Genomic DNA, 18,902 nt, shown 5'->3' on the forward strand with positions numbered 1-18,902 from the left:
TTATTCTTAAGCATATTTATATATAAATATTCTTAAGTATACACTTAAATATATATACTTAAGTATATATATTTAAGTGTATACTTAAGAATATTTATAAATATACTCATTCTTCAGCATATTTAAATATAAATATACTCATTCTTCAGCATATTTAAATATAAATATACTCGTTCTTCAGCATATTTAAATGTAAATATACTCATTCTTCAGCATATTTACATGGAAATATACTCATTCTTCAGCATATTTACATGGAAATATACTCATTCTTCAGCATATTTACATGGAAATATACTCATTCTTCAGCATATTTACATGGAAATATACTCATTCTTCAGCATATTTACATGGAAATATACTCATTCTTCAGCATATTTACATGGAAATATACTCATTCTTCAGCATATTTACATGGAAATATACTCATTCTTCAGCATATTTACATGGAAATATACTCATTCTTCAGCATATTTACATGGAAATATACTCATTCTTCAGCATATTTACATGGAAATATACTCATTCTTCAGTATATTTAAATATGAGTATACTCATTCTTCAGTATATTTAAATGTAAATATACTCATTCTTCAGTATAATTACATGTAAATATACTCATTCTTCAGTATAATTACATGTAAATATACTCATTCTTCAGTATATTTCCATGTAAATATACTCATTCTTCAGTATATTTCCATGTAAATATACTCATTCTTCAGTATATTTCCATGTAAATATACTCATTCTTCAGTATATTTCCATGGAAATATACTCATTCTTCAGTATATTTACATGGAAATATACTCATTCTTCAGTATATTTACATGGAAATATACTCATTCTTCAGTATATTTACATGGAAATATACTCATTCTTCAGTATATTTACATGGAAATATACCATTCTTCAGTATATTTACATGGAAATATACTCATTCTTCAGTATATTTACATGGAAATATACTCATTCTTCAGTATATTTAAATATGAGTATACTCATTCTTCAGTATATTTAAATATGAGTATACTCATTCTTCAGTATATTTAAATAGTTGAGTCAGTATTATATCTTCTAATTAGGTTTCTAATAATAATTTCAAAAACTATGACATGTTTTCTTCCCATTTTTTTATGGCTGAATCAAAATGTTGAGATTTATAACTTGGACCCCGTATTCTATAATGTCACACAGACATATATTTTTTTAAATTTTACCTTAAGTTCTGGGATACATGTGCAGAACATGCAGGTTTATTACATAGGTACATGTGCCATGGTGGTTTGCTGCACCAATTAATATGTCATCTGGGTTTTAAGCCCCACATGCATTAGGTATTTCTCCTAATGCTCTCCCTCCCCCAGCCCTCCAACCCCTGACAGGCCCTGGTGTGTGATGTTCCCCTTCCTGTGTCCATCTGTTCTCATTTTTCAGCTCCCACTTATGAGTGAGAACATGTGGTGTTTGGTTTTCTGTTCCTGTGTTAGTTTGCTGAGAGTGATGGTTTCTGGCTTTATCCATGTCCCTGCAAAGGACATGAACTCATTCTTTTTTATGGCTGCATAGTATTCCAAAAATGTATATGTGACACATTTTCTTTATTCAGTCTATCATTGATGGGCATTTGGGTTGGATCCAAGTCTTTGCTATCATAAATAGTGTTGTAACAAACATATGTGTGCATGTGTCTTTACAGTAGAATGATTTATAATCCTTTGGGTTTATACCTAGTAATGGGATTGTTGGGTCAAATGGTATTTCTGGTTCTGCATCCTTGAGGAATCGCCACACTGTGTTCCACAATGGTTGAACTAATTTTCACTCCTACCAACAGTGTGAAAACATTCCTATTTCTCCACATCCCCTTCAGTATCTGTTGTTTCCTGACTTTTTAATGATTGCCATTCTAACTGGTGTGAGATGAGATCTCACTGTGGTTTTGATTTTCATTTCTCTAATGACCAGCGATCATGAGCTTTTTTTCATATGACAAAAATATCTTATAACTAGGTTTGATTCTAGTCCAGTATGCTTTTTGTTATAATATGTTACTTAAAGCTCAGACAGGAAATGCAATTCTATTTTGGGGAATTAAAATTAGTGATGTGGTGGTCATAAAGATGTGGGAAAACTTTTAGGATAGTAGAAGCTATTGTCCTTATTAAGGTGTACAAAGAATTTTGGACCTGTTTTTTTTTTTTTTATTTGATTTTCAATTATTTTCTCTACATTGTCATTTTAGCCCATTGCTATGTCAACCAGTTTCAGCTTGCCCTATGGGGGAAAAAAGCCTATTAAAGAAATTCTTTACATGAAGAATTGATATCTCTGTGTTTATGAATGTAACACTTTCAGAAGATTGCACTGAAAGCAACTATATTTACAAGGCTTATCTGTCCTGTGTGTGTGTGTGTACTTATCCTAATGTTGTTAATGTTGTTTCTCATTCAGAGCCTTGTGAAGTGGGACTGCTACACACATTTTAAGTTAATATCAAAACACACCCACAATGCTTTTGGTGAAATTGTTTCATGTTGCCAAGTATACATATGCCAAAAATCTCCCCTCTTTATCAAAACAGATACGATAGTTACAGTAGTTAGTCATTGAAGTAGCTGGATATGTGTGCCATTCACCTTCATAGGAATCAGAGGGATTGTAAGAATGAACTTGAGAACTGCATTCTTGCCATCCAGGAACTAGGGTTAGGATTGGAATAAGTAATGTGTGTAGCAAGTGCCAGCCAAAGAGAAGGGAATCACTCACTATGCATGAGTCCTGGGGAAGATCAGAGCACTCATAAAAGGCATTTGAGTTAGATCTTAAAGAATTTGTTTACTATATTTAACCATATTGATCTTGAGAACAATTCCTTTGTATTTCTTCCTCAAAAATGAACTAAAGCAGATAAAGTCTTTATAACCTATGTTTTCAAGTATATGAAATTACTATATCATAGTCTGAGACCAAGTGTACAAATATGAAAAGTGGAGATACAAAGCAATTTTCCACTTACTGCAAGTCAGAGCAATATCTGTCTCAATTGTCATGAGATTTTACTTGAACATGACCTCATCTTTTTGTCCTTTCATGTGTGGTCGACCTAGCTTCAAAATCATTGTATAGACAGTACATTTTCCTTATATTGTTGCACAGATCACTGGCAATTTTGCATCATTGAATGCAACATTGTATATCAAAAATTGGCATATATAAATTATATCACTGCACACAGGGCAGACAAATTTGTACACATTGTTTTGCATCTATTTGTATATACCATTGACATTATTGCCTGTTTAATAATAGATTTTGTTAATGCACAGATAATAAGTACATTTCTTTTTTGCTATTCTGCATTTTTTTCCAGTGATGTCTTTTAGAGCTGAGCCTCTGCCCCAGAAAATAATGAAGCTTCAGTAAGAGTCCCTGAGGCAGATGGCATGGAGATGTTATTTGCATCCCTAATTATTTGGTTAATAAACAATAAACTATATTTAGTTACTAGTTAGAAGATTTTCATTTTGTAAATGTACCTCTGACCCTTTTCTTTCTTAAGTGAATGAAACAGTAATAAATAACTAAAGCTGTTTTTTGCACAAAATGCTAGATAGAGACTAGGATTTGAGAATCTATTTTTAAATTCACTTATTGTTACCCACTTAGCTAAAAGCCACTATGTGAGTTAAAGGAATATCCTGCTGTAAACAGTTCCATTTAAATTCTTAACATTTCTACTTTGAATTGTGGATCCTCTCAGCCAGCTTCCCGGGTCCCTTTGAAGCAGGCCTGTGCCAAGATTCCCCACCTCTCATGGGGAACTAAGCAAGTCCATTCTTATTCCCAGCTCATCAGAATACCCTGTCCACTCACTCTGCTGACCCACATAAGCTGATTGCTCCCTGATGTGTGGAGAAGTGATTGTGATAATGTTCACAGGAGGGGATGTGCTAATGCATGAGTGATAACTGGAGCCCGGTAAAACTTACTGAGACAGAATTCTAAGCAGAATTCCACACTCCTTTCCTAGTGTGGTCCACTCTGAGTGCTAGAGTTTTAATACAATCCAAGGATTTCTCCAAGATAATTGTTAATGACTTAATTTTATGAGGATTTTATTTATGTAAACAATCAAATAATTTTTAAGAATGAATGAATATATGTATATATATATATATATATATAGAGAGAGAGAGAGAGAGAGAGACTTGAGTAAGAATATCTGCATAAAATAAATTAAGCCAAGAATAAAATCTAGAATAAATACAGTAACTGCTCTGGAGAAGTCTAATTCTGCTCTACTGGAGATACAATGAGAACCACTAACATGATTAAGGAGATTTTTTTCAATTACAATTCAATTTGCCTTACATAATCTCTGTCGTTCTTATATGTATGCAGCTGGACCCAAGAATTTTCCCTCCTGTTTCAGGGATGTTATTTCCAGGATATAATTAATTAATATATTCATTTTTTACTTTATTCTTATATTCATTTTGTAGATATTGAGTGCCTATTATGTCCAGAGAACCATGCTAGGCAGTGGTTATTAAATAATGAATACAAATAATTTCTTGACTTAAAAACAATGGGCAATCCTAAGAGTTTACTTAGTACTTGTTCAGGGTTTGCTACAAATTCCATGATTTAACTGATTTTCTTATTGATATCCATTCTTTGATCTTCCCTCTAATAGAGGGGCAATTTGGTAACCTATATCACTATTGTATGTTTGAGCTTTGAAGCATTTTGTAGTCTATATACTTACTTTCTGCATCTTCACCGAGTAATATTCCTTGTGATCTGCGTGGACAAGAATGTTTTTACTTTTTTTTTTTTTTATATCAGAGAGAATAACATCTTGAGAATGATGACATTTTCTGGACAATTCCAGTGAATGGGCACTTAGCTAGGGAAGCCAAGAAATTATGCCTAATTAACTATGCTATTTCCAAAATTCTGCAGACTTTTACTAAGAATGCATGCCAGGGATGAAAAAATACAAAGTAAAGCAGTAGATTTGCACCCAGAAAACTGACATAACTTTTCCTTTCTTTGCAACATTGATATTTGCCTTCAACTGATGAAGGCTTCGATCTTGATTTCAATTAGAAATGCAGTGAACAAAGAGATTCTAGGGAATACATACAACATGAAGCTCCTCAGTCTTCCTTACAGGGGAGAACTACACAGCAGCTTCCAAATAGTTGCAAAGACGAACATGACTTCAGTGACTTTGACTAGATTATATTATTTTTATTGCCTTTATTTTTCACACATAAGACTTCATTTCTGTGAATAAAATATATGACATATCTGGTTTTCCATATGGTAAAATCTTTAAAGATTTTTTGTACATTCTCTAAATGAATAAATTGGATTCTCAAGTATAAAAACATCATAAAAATTGCTTATAAAATATTCTAAAAGAAACCCTGAGTAGCTGGCATATAGACGTGCTCTACAAATATTTGCTGAATGAATGAACCAGGAGAGGTATTTATAGTAAATAAGGAAATGACCAGACTCATTAACAATAAAAATTATATACAGTCAAGTGTTACTTAGCTGAAATAACATGGTGTAAATAAATGGTGTAAATAATATGCCCCCTATATTAATAAAACAGATGAAGCAAAACTGAAAATAAGCCAATAAGAAATAAAATCCACTTGATAGTTTTGCTAATGATTGTAACATAATAGCTTGCATTTTAACTTACATTTTAAATAAAGAACGCAGTCCAATCTCTCAAATTATGGAAGTTTTTCTTCTAAAATAATTCTGATAACTAGCTTTCATTTGAATATCTCCAGTAGTGAAGAGCTCATTACTTTTATGGGAATCCATTCTATTGTTGGTAATAGTTATCCTAATGCTTTAAAAATATTACATTGACATCTGACTACCTGCATGTTCCTTTTAGAAAAAGTTTAATTTAGAAAAAGAAAAATACTACTACCTGAGATAACACACAAAGGTGTATTTTCTCTTGGCCACAGTATTTTCAGGACATTAAAAAAATAAGATTATACATCATTTATACTGTTTAGTAAGTGAGCTTTCAAATTACAGGTCATGTAAGTGTTCAAGATGTTCTAATCAGACCTAATTGTCACTATTTTACATTAAACTTGTATACATGTCTAATGTAAAACAATGTGTTTAAAATAATGTAAAATAAGGGTATGTTTGTTTTTACACTCTGGCTCAGGCTAGCCTCTGTGTATATCACTGTGGCTTCTGTGTGGAGCAAGAACTTAATCAAATTTGGATTTGCATTCACATTAGTTTCACCACTATCTAGGCTTTACGTAGTTGTAAGCAACTGTTTAGCTTTTGGGTCTGGCTTTCATTTTTCTTGTCTCTTATAATCTTAGGGTAATATTTGACATTTTAAAAACAAATTAACATCCTTAAATCAAAGATCTTAAAATATAATTGTTGTGAAATTCCCTGAAAATAATTTACATATTTTTTAAATACATGAAACTAAATGACTTGCTGTAAGTCTGTTTCTCACAACTGACACTCTGCTTTTCCTGTGAAGAAATACATAAACAGAAGCCTCAGCTAGACAGATTTTCTTTTGTTTGCCTAATTGCCAGAAGGTTAATGATTTTCATAATGCCATTTATGTCTGGATATTATCAGCACTGTAAAAAAAAAAGTTCTAATAACTTTTGTTAGTGTAGTCTGCAGAACCATTGAAGGAACAAACATATTGTATAAGGAAACTTTTTGTTTTCTCAGCAAAGTGTTTCAAATATGTTAAAATCAGCTCAATATTCAGTATTATTATTTGGTTAAATTCCAGAATGGAAAGAACTTGTAGTAAAATGATTAGGCTATGAACAGACAAATGCAACTGACAATGTTAAGTCGAAAAGTATTTTTTTTTTACTTAATTGAAGCAAAATATTAATTTTAAAAATATGAGTTAGAGCTGAATAATCTGTAGACATAAAAGCACGTATACTTTTAGAATGTGTGATGTTATTGTTGCATCACTGGAAAACCTTACGTGTTTATTCTTTTGAAGAGTGGAAGATGGAATTTAATTTACTCTTTAACTTTCTGTTATAAAGCTTAACCGTCTTTAGTCTCTTCAGAGCAATGTTACGAGATTGAGTTTCCACATCATTCTGGTTATTCTTCTTGAACACCCTTAGTTTTAAAATTATCTTTCTTAAAAGATTGATCTCATAAGATTGAATACCTTGTCCTATGTTTTATAGCTTATAATTTTTCTTTTGTGGACTACCTGTTAAAGTCTTTTACCCATTTTTTATTAGGTTTACTGATTGTTTCTTATTGATTTGTGGGGCTTGTTTATACATTAACAAAAATGAATATTTTTGTTATAGGTTTAGAAATATCTTCTCCCAATCTATAGTTAGCCGTTTAACTCTCTGATTCCTGCCTTTTGATAATCGATGTCTAATTTTACTATAATCGAATTTATATTTTCCTGTTTAGCTAGTACATTTTGAGTCCTGTTTAAAAAATCTTTCCCAACCACAAAAAGATGCTGTATGTTCTCTTCCAGAAACTTTTACAATTTGATCTACACGTTTTGACCTTGATTTTTGAGTATGGTGTGGGGCAGAATCACTTCTAGAACAATTTATTGTGGGGGAAAAGGACGGTGATTTTTGAAAAAGGAAACAAGAAGAGCTTGTGGATTGCTGGCAATGATTTCTTTATAGATCTGGGTGGCTGTTACACTGTTATGTTCATTGTGTGATAATTCCTGATACTAGCTATTTATATGTTTGTAATTTGTTCATTTATATATATATATGTAAAGACTTTATAAAAATGCATGAAAAACATATCTAATAATACATTGTAAATATAATATTCTACTTAGATGTCATAATTTTAACCCTGTATATTATTTCATAAAGTAAGGTTACATAATTCTTTCTAAGCATTAGATACCTTTAATCATGAAATTGATAATGCGTTTCTTCAAAATGAGTAGCTTTGTTTATTGTTGATGTTAAAACAAACTGTACTGGTATAGGTTCAGGTTTCCAGCCAGTGAAAAACATTTACATCATTATTCAGTTTGTTATCCTATTAGGTTTCTTTTCCAGGTTTATATAATTGGCAAATTTCATAAGCATGTCTTTCATGCCTTAGAGAATAAAAATATTAAAAATGACAGTATACAGGATGAAAGCCTGTGGAACATCATTAGAGAGCGCTCTTCAAGCTGACATCACCATTAATCAACGTATTTGGGGCACGATAACTAGCCATTTTTTAATCTACCTAAAACTGTTATCTCCCAGCCCACATTTTACTAGTTTACATTTGCCAGATATTTTGTCAAATGCTTTGCAATAATTAAAATTGAAGATACATCTATGGAATTTATGCTGTTCTATTAAACAAGGACTCAATTTTATAAAAGGAAATCCTTATAACCTACCACTATTGCCTCCTCTATCACCAGACCCCATTCATCTTTTTCCTAAATATTTACAACTCACATGCTAGACTTTAAAGAGGATCTCTCTTGTTATTTTTCCCAGATGTACCAACTTCACTGTTTTTAAAATTTATGGTTTTTATGGTTTTTAGTTTTTGACTATCTTTCTTTTTTTGGCAGCTCCTTTAATAAATATTCAAGAAAGCTAAGATTACATTTATGGATAATGCCAGTCCTTGGGGTTATAATCTGAATTCGAATGCTTCAAAAAGTTAAAGGAACAGGCCAGGCGTGGTGGCTCAGCCTGTAATCTCTGCACTTTGGGAAGCCGAGGTGGGCGGATCATGAGGTCGAGAGATCGAGACCAGCTTAGTCAACATGGTGAAACCGTGTCTCTACTAAAAATACAAAAATTAACTGGGCATGGTGGCATGTGCCTGTAATCCCAGCTACTTGGGAGGCTGAGGCAGGAGAATCGCTTGAACCCAGGAGGCGGAGGTTGCAGTGAGCCAGGATCTCGCCACTGCACTCCAGCCTGGCGACAGAGCAAGACGCCAAAAAAAAAAAAAAAAAAAAAAAAAAAAAGTTAAAGCCACTTTGTCTGTCTTATTATGTCTTAGCTTGTCTGAGGAGGTATTTGTCTATACTCAGTTAGTAGTTTTGCTACTTCTAGAATTATTTGAAACTGTTGTCTTTGTTGGTAGAAATGGGTGACAAACAGTACTATTTTCCTGTCATTAAATAATATCTGATAGTATTATATCTTCTTTCTTCTGTTTTGCTTAAAAAATAGCTTTCAAGCTCTTTTGTTTGAACCTTATTTATATAAGTATTAATTTATCGATATTTTAGGAATGATTGGGCCACTGCCAATTTTCCTACTCTAGTTTATAACAGATGTTGATTAATGGATATAGCCCTCTTCCCTGGCTACTCTAATCAACAAATATCTGCACTTGGTTGAAGCCTGTTTATCCACTTCTCATAGATCACATGACCTCCTTGCAGATGTTTATCCCCCACTGCAAATAAAATCTGAGCTCATTAACGAGTTCATTTTAGCACTTATTAAGATGCCTGTTACTGTTTTTGTATCAATTAGATAATTCTCCATTATAGGCTTAAACTCATGTTACATATTATTTTCAATGTTCAGAAGGTCTTAAAATTCATGGTGTCATGTCTTTTTTAGTTTTGAATAAAAATTAGTTTTTCAAATGTTTATATTCTGTGCATTGGTCTTAGTCTAGAACTTCTCTTAGACTTACCCTAGAAACTTCCAATTTATCCCCAATATCTTTTAACTACTGCAAATTTTAACAGGTTTACTGATGTATAATTGATATACATTAACATATATATTTATATAAAGTATAATTTATATATAGTGGTAAATTTTATATATGTACATATTAATATATATCAATATACATTATACTATGTTTAGATATTTAATCTAATATATTAATATTAACTTCAATATATTTATTATATATTATATTTTATATATTATAAATTTATATGAATATATACACTGTATAATTTATAAATATGTACGTGTGTGTGTATATATATATATGTCAACATGGAAATATTACCTTTTAGCTCACTAATTATTTCTTTTCAGGCTGGAGTACAGTGGTGCAATCTCAGCTCACTGCAACCTCTGCCTCCTGGGTTCAAGCGATTCTCCTGCCTCAGCCTCCCTACTAGCTGGGATTACGGGCACCCGCCACCACGCCTGGCAAATTTTTGTATATTTTTTTAGTAGAGATGGGGTTGCACCATGTTAGGCTGATCTCGAACTCTTGACCTCAAGTGATCCACCCGCCTCGGCCTCCCAAACTGCTGGGATTACAGGTGTGAGCTACCATGCCCAGCTTAGCTCACTAATTATTTCTTAGATTATATATAATTGGTAGCCTTTCCTCAGATGAGTTTATTTTCCTATCAACCAACTTTTGCATTTCTAAAACTACTTCATAGTTTCTTTTAGTATCCATCTATAAATGTTTTATTTTTCCCTGTTGTAACTGATAATTACTGCTATTTTTAATGAATAGCATTACCTATTTTATATTTTTGAGAGGATAAAGCCTATTTATCTCCACTAGCCCTCAATTGCTATTACTTATGGAACTAATTGGTGTTGAACTTTTGACTTTGTTGACTTCGTGGCATTGGATTTCATTCCTGTCATTTGAAATTTTCATTTGCATGTTCTTCTTGACAGCCAGTCTCTCTCTTTCTGGTCTCTCTTTCTCTTTCTTCTCTCTTCCTATCTCCTCTCATCTCCCCTGTTTTTTGTGCTTTATCATTTTGGGACTTTCTCTACTCAAGTCCCAGAATGTCCAGTCTGAAAGTGTACCTTACATTACTCGCCCGATGCCTGTGCCTGGCAGTGTTTTTAGGGAATCATGTGTCTAGTCACCAAGCCAGTGAATGCCTTTACTCAGCTCAGATATGCCTATTTGCTAACCTCTTTGGGCATACAGCCTCATATAATCCATATGTTTAAGTGAGTAATCAGCTTTCTTCAGTCTCTTTTCACAACCAGGTTAGCCGAGGGCCAGTCTCGGTTTGCAACCTTAAAGCAAGCTTTCTGTAGCTGATACACACAGGGAACTTACATTACCAATATTCCGTAGTAGTCAAATGCCCAAATGCCTTTGTATGTCCCCAGATCCGGACTCTGTCTGGCCTCGGCTTCAGCCCCACTCATTGCTTTGCATGTTTGTTGCATTTCTTGTGCATAGAGATGTTTATCTTATTTTTTGATCCTGGCTATGTCTTTTCAATTTTCTTCTTATCTATCTTATCTAAAAATACAGTGTATTTGAAGCAGAAGGGGGTCTCAAAGCCTGAACTCATAATGCAATTTTGCCTGGAGTCTCCTTTTCAATTTATTTTTTTCAGCTGATACTTATTTCTCAGCCAGTTATTAAAGGTAGTTCTAACCCTAATTGAATTTTTTTTTCACCTTGTATTTTTGCTAAATTAGAATCCAGGCATATAGTCTCTGGTGGTGTTAAAACCACCAACTTGAGTGCCGCGTTTCTTCAGGAGCCATTTATCACTACAACAGAAACTCCATGGCCTCTCTAAACCACCCACTAAATTCCTCTTTTGTCTGACTTACTGAATTACAAATTACAAAGCAAAAATAACTCATATTAGTCCAGAGTACTAGTTTCTTCAATTATTCAGATTCTCTATTGTAATGGATCACTCTAGGAGCCCACATAGAATGGACACGTAGAATACAAACACTGTATATCTTTACAGCATACGTGTGCTCACACCATATACTACACACACGCAAATACACAGGGGGAGGAATATCTGTGTATGTGTGAGAATAAAGAGAAGAGTGAGGAAGGAAAGACAGATGGAGGATGGGAGGGGTGGGAAAGGGAAGAGAGAGCACAGAAGAAGAGAGAGAAGGGGAATGAAGAAACAGCATTCTTATTGTTTCGAGACTAGCAAGAGTTCCATAACAAGTATACATCTTTCAAGTTACTTCAACAATACACTAGTTATTTGCTAGATGTTTTAGGCACTATTATCTCTAGGCAAGTGTTCTTCTTAGGAACTAAGAGTTTATGACTGTTCAGCATCTCCACTTCTTCTAACTCCTCTTTGACGTCCAACCACTTTCTTTGAGCTGCTACAATACATTGGGAACTTTTTTGCCCTCTTATATACCACATTCCAGAGGTGGTTGTGATGAAAGAGGTATCATTATTAATCCTCGGATCAATAGAGGTTACACATTTCACAAGCCAAGTAAACAAAGTAATAAACTTCCCCGAATTGCATTGCTTGATAGACCAAAGAGAAAAAGGGAACTTTTCATCGATCTTTCCACCATGTTCCTCATGAAAGACTGACTTTTGCCCTCCCCTTGAGGTTAATCACTACAGTATTCTCTCCACATATATTTCTGCTAAGAAATACATTTTGACTTATATTTCTTCTGATTTTAGATTTTTGCTTTCCTTAAAGTTAACAATAAATTCTATTTTGCTAAAAGTAATGAGATAAATGGGATTAAGCAGCTGTATGTTAGTTGCTTGCTTGCTGAAAGACTGGAATGCAGCAAACAATAAGTAACTGAAGAAAATTTATTCTGGAGCATTCATTAGCAAAACAGAGGAAATAGTCTAAGTTTCACCAATCAATCAGACATTTTCTCACCTGTTACCTCATTGTATTAATTGCTCGTTGACTTGAGTTCACTCAATCACTCTGTTGCTTTTGGTAATACATAGAACTCTGTATGAAATTGGCTATAAAATTTCTTCAAGGTTTCGAACTGTATATCTAACAGGTAAGAAAATATATTTGTTACCCCACAATAACTGAGTATATTGTTGTCCCCAAAATTAACCTACAGCTCTTTCAAAATTTTATGGAATTCTAGGTAAAATAGGAAGATGAATGATATATGACAATAAGGAATATTATATATTAACACTACAATAGGAAAAAAATAACATATAAAAAACACACTACAAAGCAGGTATAAGTAACTCATTGTTAGTAAACAGATTATCAGGAAGTGGTCCCAAGAGGTACTGCAGACTAGAATCTCCAGGATACACATCCTGAGATGAAAAATAGCATCTAGGAAGTTAATTAGGAGTGTTTTGGGGATGAAAACCTGTGGAAGAGAAAGGAATGAAACAGAAATTAGTTACAGGGAGGAGTTTAGGTGAAATGCAGTTTCAATGAAGTCTTTGACCAATCCCTGCAGGGAGCTCTGAGACTGTGAAGACACCTCAGAGTTTCTACAGGTTGGGGCAGGGTACTGGCTTTTTATAGCCCCAGGTTGACCAGTCGTTGCAGTTGCACAACCCCATGAAGGTATACCATCTACATGTGCCTCTTTTTAACCCAGGAAATTCCTGAAGAGGAATTACAGCTAAGTACTGTATCATAGAAAAAATATTCTTGTAAAAGTGTGAATTATATGATAATAGAAACTGAGAAGTAGTTACATCGTTTGCACATATATTCCATAGATAGCACCCATATAACCTATGCAAACACATACACTAGATACTTAAATTTTTCCAAATGTTTTGTGAGATATGATTTCGATATAGTGAAAGGTACAGATTTTAAATTTGTATTTTTTTTTAAGAGATTAATCTTGGGCAGGGATCAACAAACTTCAACCCTCTGTCCAGCTACAAGCTTTTGTTAATAACACTTCATTATAACATGGCCATACTCTTTTGTGTATGTACTGCTCTTCATACTATAATAGAATTTGGCAGTTTTAACAGAGGTAGTATGGTCTACAAAGCCAAAAATACATAGTATTTAACCTTTTACAGAAAATGTTTGCTGACCCTTGATCTAGGGTTTGCTATTTTCAAGTAATACCACCTCATATGTAAAGTTAAGACCACAGCATAACATATTTCCTGTCCAGACTCCTATCCTTTGTACTATTGTAGTTGCATATCTGACTTCCACATTTATTATAAACCCTGTTATTCATCATTACTGTTTGTAAGCACTAAATTATCTTTTAATGAAATTTAAAAACATGAACAAATATTTTATATGTACTTAACATGTTTAGCATTTTAAGCACTCATTTCGTCATGTAAATATGAGTTTCAAAATGGTAAACTTCCCTTAAGGTGAAAAACTTATATTTTTATAGTATACACATAAAAGTGATGAATTCTCCCAGCTTTTGTCTTGAATATTACGTTATTTTTATATTTAAAATATATTTTTGCTGGACATAGAATTTCAGGTTGCCAGCTTTTTTTTTATCTTTCCTTTTCATCATGTCTGTTAGGTTGTTTCATTGTCATTTGGCTTGCATTATTTCTGCTGAGAAGTTGTAACCCTCTGAATACCTTTAAGATTTTCTCTTTAGCATCGTCTTTCAGCAAATAATTATAATGTGCCTTATTGTATTTTCCCTTGTATATCTCCTGCCTGGAATTCAATAAACTTCTCACATATCTGAGTTTATATATTTCAACCATTATTTCTTCAAACATATTTTATTCTGACCCAATCTCTGTCATCTCTGCTTGTAGTACTCCACTTGCATGATTGTTAGGGCAGTTATCAATGTCTCACAACTTACTGGAATAACTGTTTATTTTTTAAGCCTTGTTTTTCCTCTCTGAGCTTAATTTAGATGCCTTATATGGCCCTACATTCTAGTACAATGATGTTTTCTTCTGTGTCTCATCTGCTGTTAAGCCCATCCATTAAATTTTCTATTTCAGATGTAATTCTTACTCCTAAAATTTCCATTTTGTTCTCGTTTGTTGCTTTTCTCCTTCAACATTTTGCATTTTTAAAAAATGTTTATATGTTTTATTTTAGATAATAGAATTAATAATTACTGTTTTTAAAGTCCTGGTCTGCTAATTTCATCATTTCTGTTATTTTGGGGATACATTTCCATTGATTTTTTTCTCTCTGGTTCTAAGACATATTTTCCTGCTTGTCCAAATGTCTAGTATATTTTTCAGTTGATATACTTGACATTATGGATGCAATGTTGTTCAGTTTCTAAATGTTTATGACTTTCCTTAATGGAGTGTCAAGTTTTGTTCCATCAAAAAATTAATTTTTGGTCAGATTTATCTTTTTCAGTAACCTTTGCTCAGGTGTGTCCAGACTAGCCCTCATATTAGGACTAAAATATCCCTACATATAATGCATGACTTTTATGGGATGTCTACTGAATGCCTGGAGGGATTCAACAAGGTCTCTCAATTTTGTCTAGTCTGAAATCAAATTTTTCCCAGCTCTGTGCAACCTCTGGTTATTGTTGACTTCAGAACTCCCTTTACCTGGTCTTGTGCAGTCTTGATCTAAAAGTGCACAGCATGGTGTTTCTTCTGAGTCCAGATTGCAGAGACACATTCATGACTCCCTTGTAGATTTCTAAAGCACTTTACACAGCTGTGCCCTCTCTGGGACTCTGTCCTGTTAATTCCAGCTTCTTTAGTAGCTTTGAATTGTAATATGTTTCCGTTTCAATGACACTACTGCACTGCTGAACTCTGTTTGGGATCATCTTCCATATGCCATGATCCAGAAAGTGAAGCTAGCAGAAAGCCAGGAAGTTGGCAGGGCTCACCTTATTTGTTTATCTTATTTTATGGATCACGTACTGCACTGCCCATTGTCCAGTCCCTAAAACAGTGATTTTTTAAAATTTTATTTTATTTTATTTTTTGAGATGGAGTCCCACTCTGTCACTCAAACTGGAGTGCAATGGCACCATCTTGGCTCACTGCAACCTCTGCCTCCCAGGTTCAAGCAATTCTCCTGCCTCAGCCTTCCCAGTAGCTGGGATTACAGGCACCTGCCACCACGCCTGGCTAATTTTTGTATTTTTAGAGGAAATGGGGTTTCAGCATGTTGGCCAGGCTGATCTCCAACTACTGACCTCAGGTGATCCACCTGCCTTGGTCTCCCAAAGTGCTGGGATTACAGGCGTGAGCCACTGAGCCCAGTCAGTTATTTTATATATTTTTTAGTTTTGTAATTTTAAAAAAAGCTATTCTATCATAGTTTTAAGCAAAAATAGGCCATGTAACCATTATTATTTGAATATCTGTGATGATTTATGAAATGATTATTATGAACGTCCTCATAGAATAAATTATTTTGCCAGCCTTTAAATTCCTTATTTAAAAAATAGTACACACGTTTTGATATACTGTACATTGGATAATCTATTGAATATTTTTATATCATTCTCTTTAGTAGCTGAACTCACTGTAAAAATTATAGTGCCTCTTAGCACTAACATTATGCCATATTTTCTGTAACTTATTTTGTGTACAACCCTAGTTATTTTAAATATTACTGTAAATTAAGAATATTGATCTATATGAGTGCCATTTTTCTAACAAATGTTTTTACATTCTTACTATTTGCTGAGCAATTCTTATATTTTGCCAAAAGAGATTTAACTTTGTTTAGTATCTAATTTTTCTAGAAATATGACTTACAAGAGGTATTGACTGTATATCTTCTAAGTGTTAAATAAACATTCTTCCTGATTTCCTATATACTTCCCTGTACCTCTCAGTGGTACAGGAAATTAATGTAAGATTAGGTTCATTTTAAGAATTGCAAATATTTTTCTACTTTACTTCACAAGAAAAATATATTTTAGAATTGTGTATAATTGCTTGTTTTTAATTTATAATTTATTAAATGATAAAGTTTACATGACAGAAAAAATTGGATAGTTACATACATTTTTCTCATGATTTTAGCTGAAGAGTTTATGGTAAATTGGTCAACCCTCAGCCAATTAGACTTTGACATGTACTAATAAGATCTAATTGAGGAATTATGAAGACATTTGCTCAGGAGAAAATGAGCACATAATTACACCATAAAGAGGTTAAAGAATCAATGTTACCAGCTGGAAGAATATTAGTTGAAGTCCCAATGGCATCTATAAAGGATATTTCATAATATATCTGTGAAATAGAGCACTGCCAAGACCAATTAAGATATGTAGAATATTCCATTGTCAGTTGTACAAGTTCAAATTTAAATATTCATTTTCCCATCTTACCTCTGCCCATCTTCAGGTGCTGGGGGATGGTCTCCATCAGACAGCGACCATTATCAATGGCTTCAGGTTGACTTTGGCAATCGGAAGCAGATCAGTGCCATTGCAACCCAAGGAAGGTATAGCAGCTCAGATTGGGTGACCCAATACCGGATGCTCTACAGCGACACAGGGAGAAACTGGAAACCCTATCATCAAGATGGGAATATCTGGGTAAGTCATTGGCAGGAAAGCAAAGACACAGAATTGGATTGGAAATATTAGAAAATGGTACAGGATTTACTAAGCATATATAGTTATCAATATTTATGTATTCAAATCATTGGGAAACTATTTATTCATCATTGTTGATGGAAGAAAGTTTCTTCAGGCTGTAATTTCTATCCAATGGTTAAAGCAATGATTCTAGATCTGGACTATGAATTTGAATCACCTGAGGAAGTTTTAAAGCACGTAGATGAAAGGCAAACCCGGATCAATAAGACCAGAATCACGTAAGTTGAAATAGTGATTAATGATACTGATAACTTTTCTGAAGACAGCGATCTTCAATTGAAGGAAAATATTGAAATTATGAAGAATATAATTTAGAGAAGTAAGAGCAGTGATAGATGTTAAGAAAAGAACTTGTCCATTTTATAATAGTGTCTTAAACACTTATTACAGATCTATGTTCACTTTATTCCTTTATTATGAAAGAAGAGAATAAAGCTTAACCCATTTGTTCTTAAAATGTCTCTATTAACTTAAAAAGTTGTATATATTCAATCAAATATTCACCACATAATAATTTGAATAAATTATTTAACAGTAAAATTTAAGTGTTCTACTTTGTTTAATTATTTTAAAAAGCAGGCATGACCAAAATCAAGTGCTGTCATCAATATTAAACCAGAAGAAGAAGAAGAAAAAGAAGATGAGGAGGAGGAAAGGGAGAGGATGAAAGGGAAGGGGGAAAAGAAGGAAGAGGAAAGGGTTCACTTTTAAAATCATGTCCTTCACAGTATTAGTTGGAGTGCTGGATATTTTTAACTTTATCATGAATCACTCTTGTAGACTTTGTATTTTAAAAGTCCCCAATTATTTTTTCTAAGTAACAAGAGTTTATAATTTCTAGCTAAAGTGGATGTTCATTTCTACAGCAGTATGTGAAATAAGGATATAATGTCCTGATAATAAAAAATGTGTCTACTTAAGTAGAACTTTAGAAATAACTCCTTTCAAGTCATAATTATATGGAAAGAATATTTGTGTATTAGGATGTATAAGTTACGGAAAGCAAGTAGTGGGAAAAATGCCTCTTTCTAAAATGTCTTCATCTCGCAATTGAGATAATTCAAATCCTCAGGCATAATTTATAGAAAAGTGCTTATCAAGCCTGAATACACAGTAGAATTAGCTAGAGAACTTTAAAACATATAGACCCTTGTGTCCCAACCCCAGAGACTTGAATTTAGTTGGTCTAAGGTGCAGCCTGGGCTTTGGGATTTTAAAGCTCCGATGGTGATGCTAATGTACAGTGAACACCGAATACATAGTTTAGATTGGTTTTCAGTCTACAGTTAAGAAGGGGATAGAGGAAGTATATGCTGAAAATGAAGAGGAGAACAGAAAATTTGAAAGAGTTGCCCTTAAAATTTGGCAGAGAGAGAGAGGGGAAGACGGAGGAGTAAGGGGGTTGGGTGGGGGGAAGGGGAGGGAGAAATCAAGTGGCCAACCAACCAAACAGCAGACCAAACAACTGAGAGTAAACAGTGAAGGCTTGGATCACAGACCCTTCTAACACCCAGAGCACTCATTATTTTCTAACTTTCTATGGTTTCTAAACTAAGATCAAATGAGCATGTTGGTAAAATTGCTTGAGGGGTTTACTTTCTGTGA

General features: G+C 33.4%; 1 protein-coding gene across 2 annotated transcripts in view; it reads left to right on the forward strand.

Moving 5' to 3' along the window:
• The window catches only part of CNTNAP2 (contactin associated protein 2), a 2,304,198-nt gene that overhangs the window by 705,870 nt on the left and 1,579,426 nt on the right, over positions 1-18,902 (forward strand). For both annotated transcript variants that reach the window (NM_014141.6, XM_017011950.3), the window contains exon 3: positions 17,041-17,234. In NM_014141.6, coding sequence (NP_054860.1) covers positions 17,041-17,234 — 194 coding nt within the window. The remainder of the gene's footprint in view (positions 1-17,040; positions 17,235-18,902) is intronic.

The sequence above is a fragment of the Homo sapiens genome, chromosome 7 (assembly GCF_000001405.40).
Source record: "Homo sapiens chromosome 7, GRCh38.p14 Primary Assembly".
In the NCBI taxonomy this organism is placed as follows: Eukaryota; Metazoa; Chordata; class Mammalia; order Primates; family Hominidae; genus Homo; species Homo sapiens.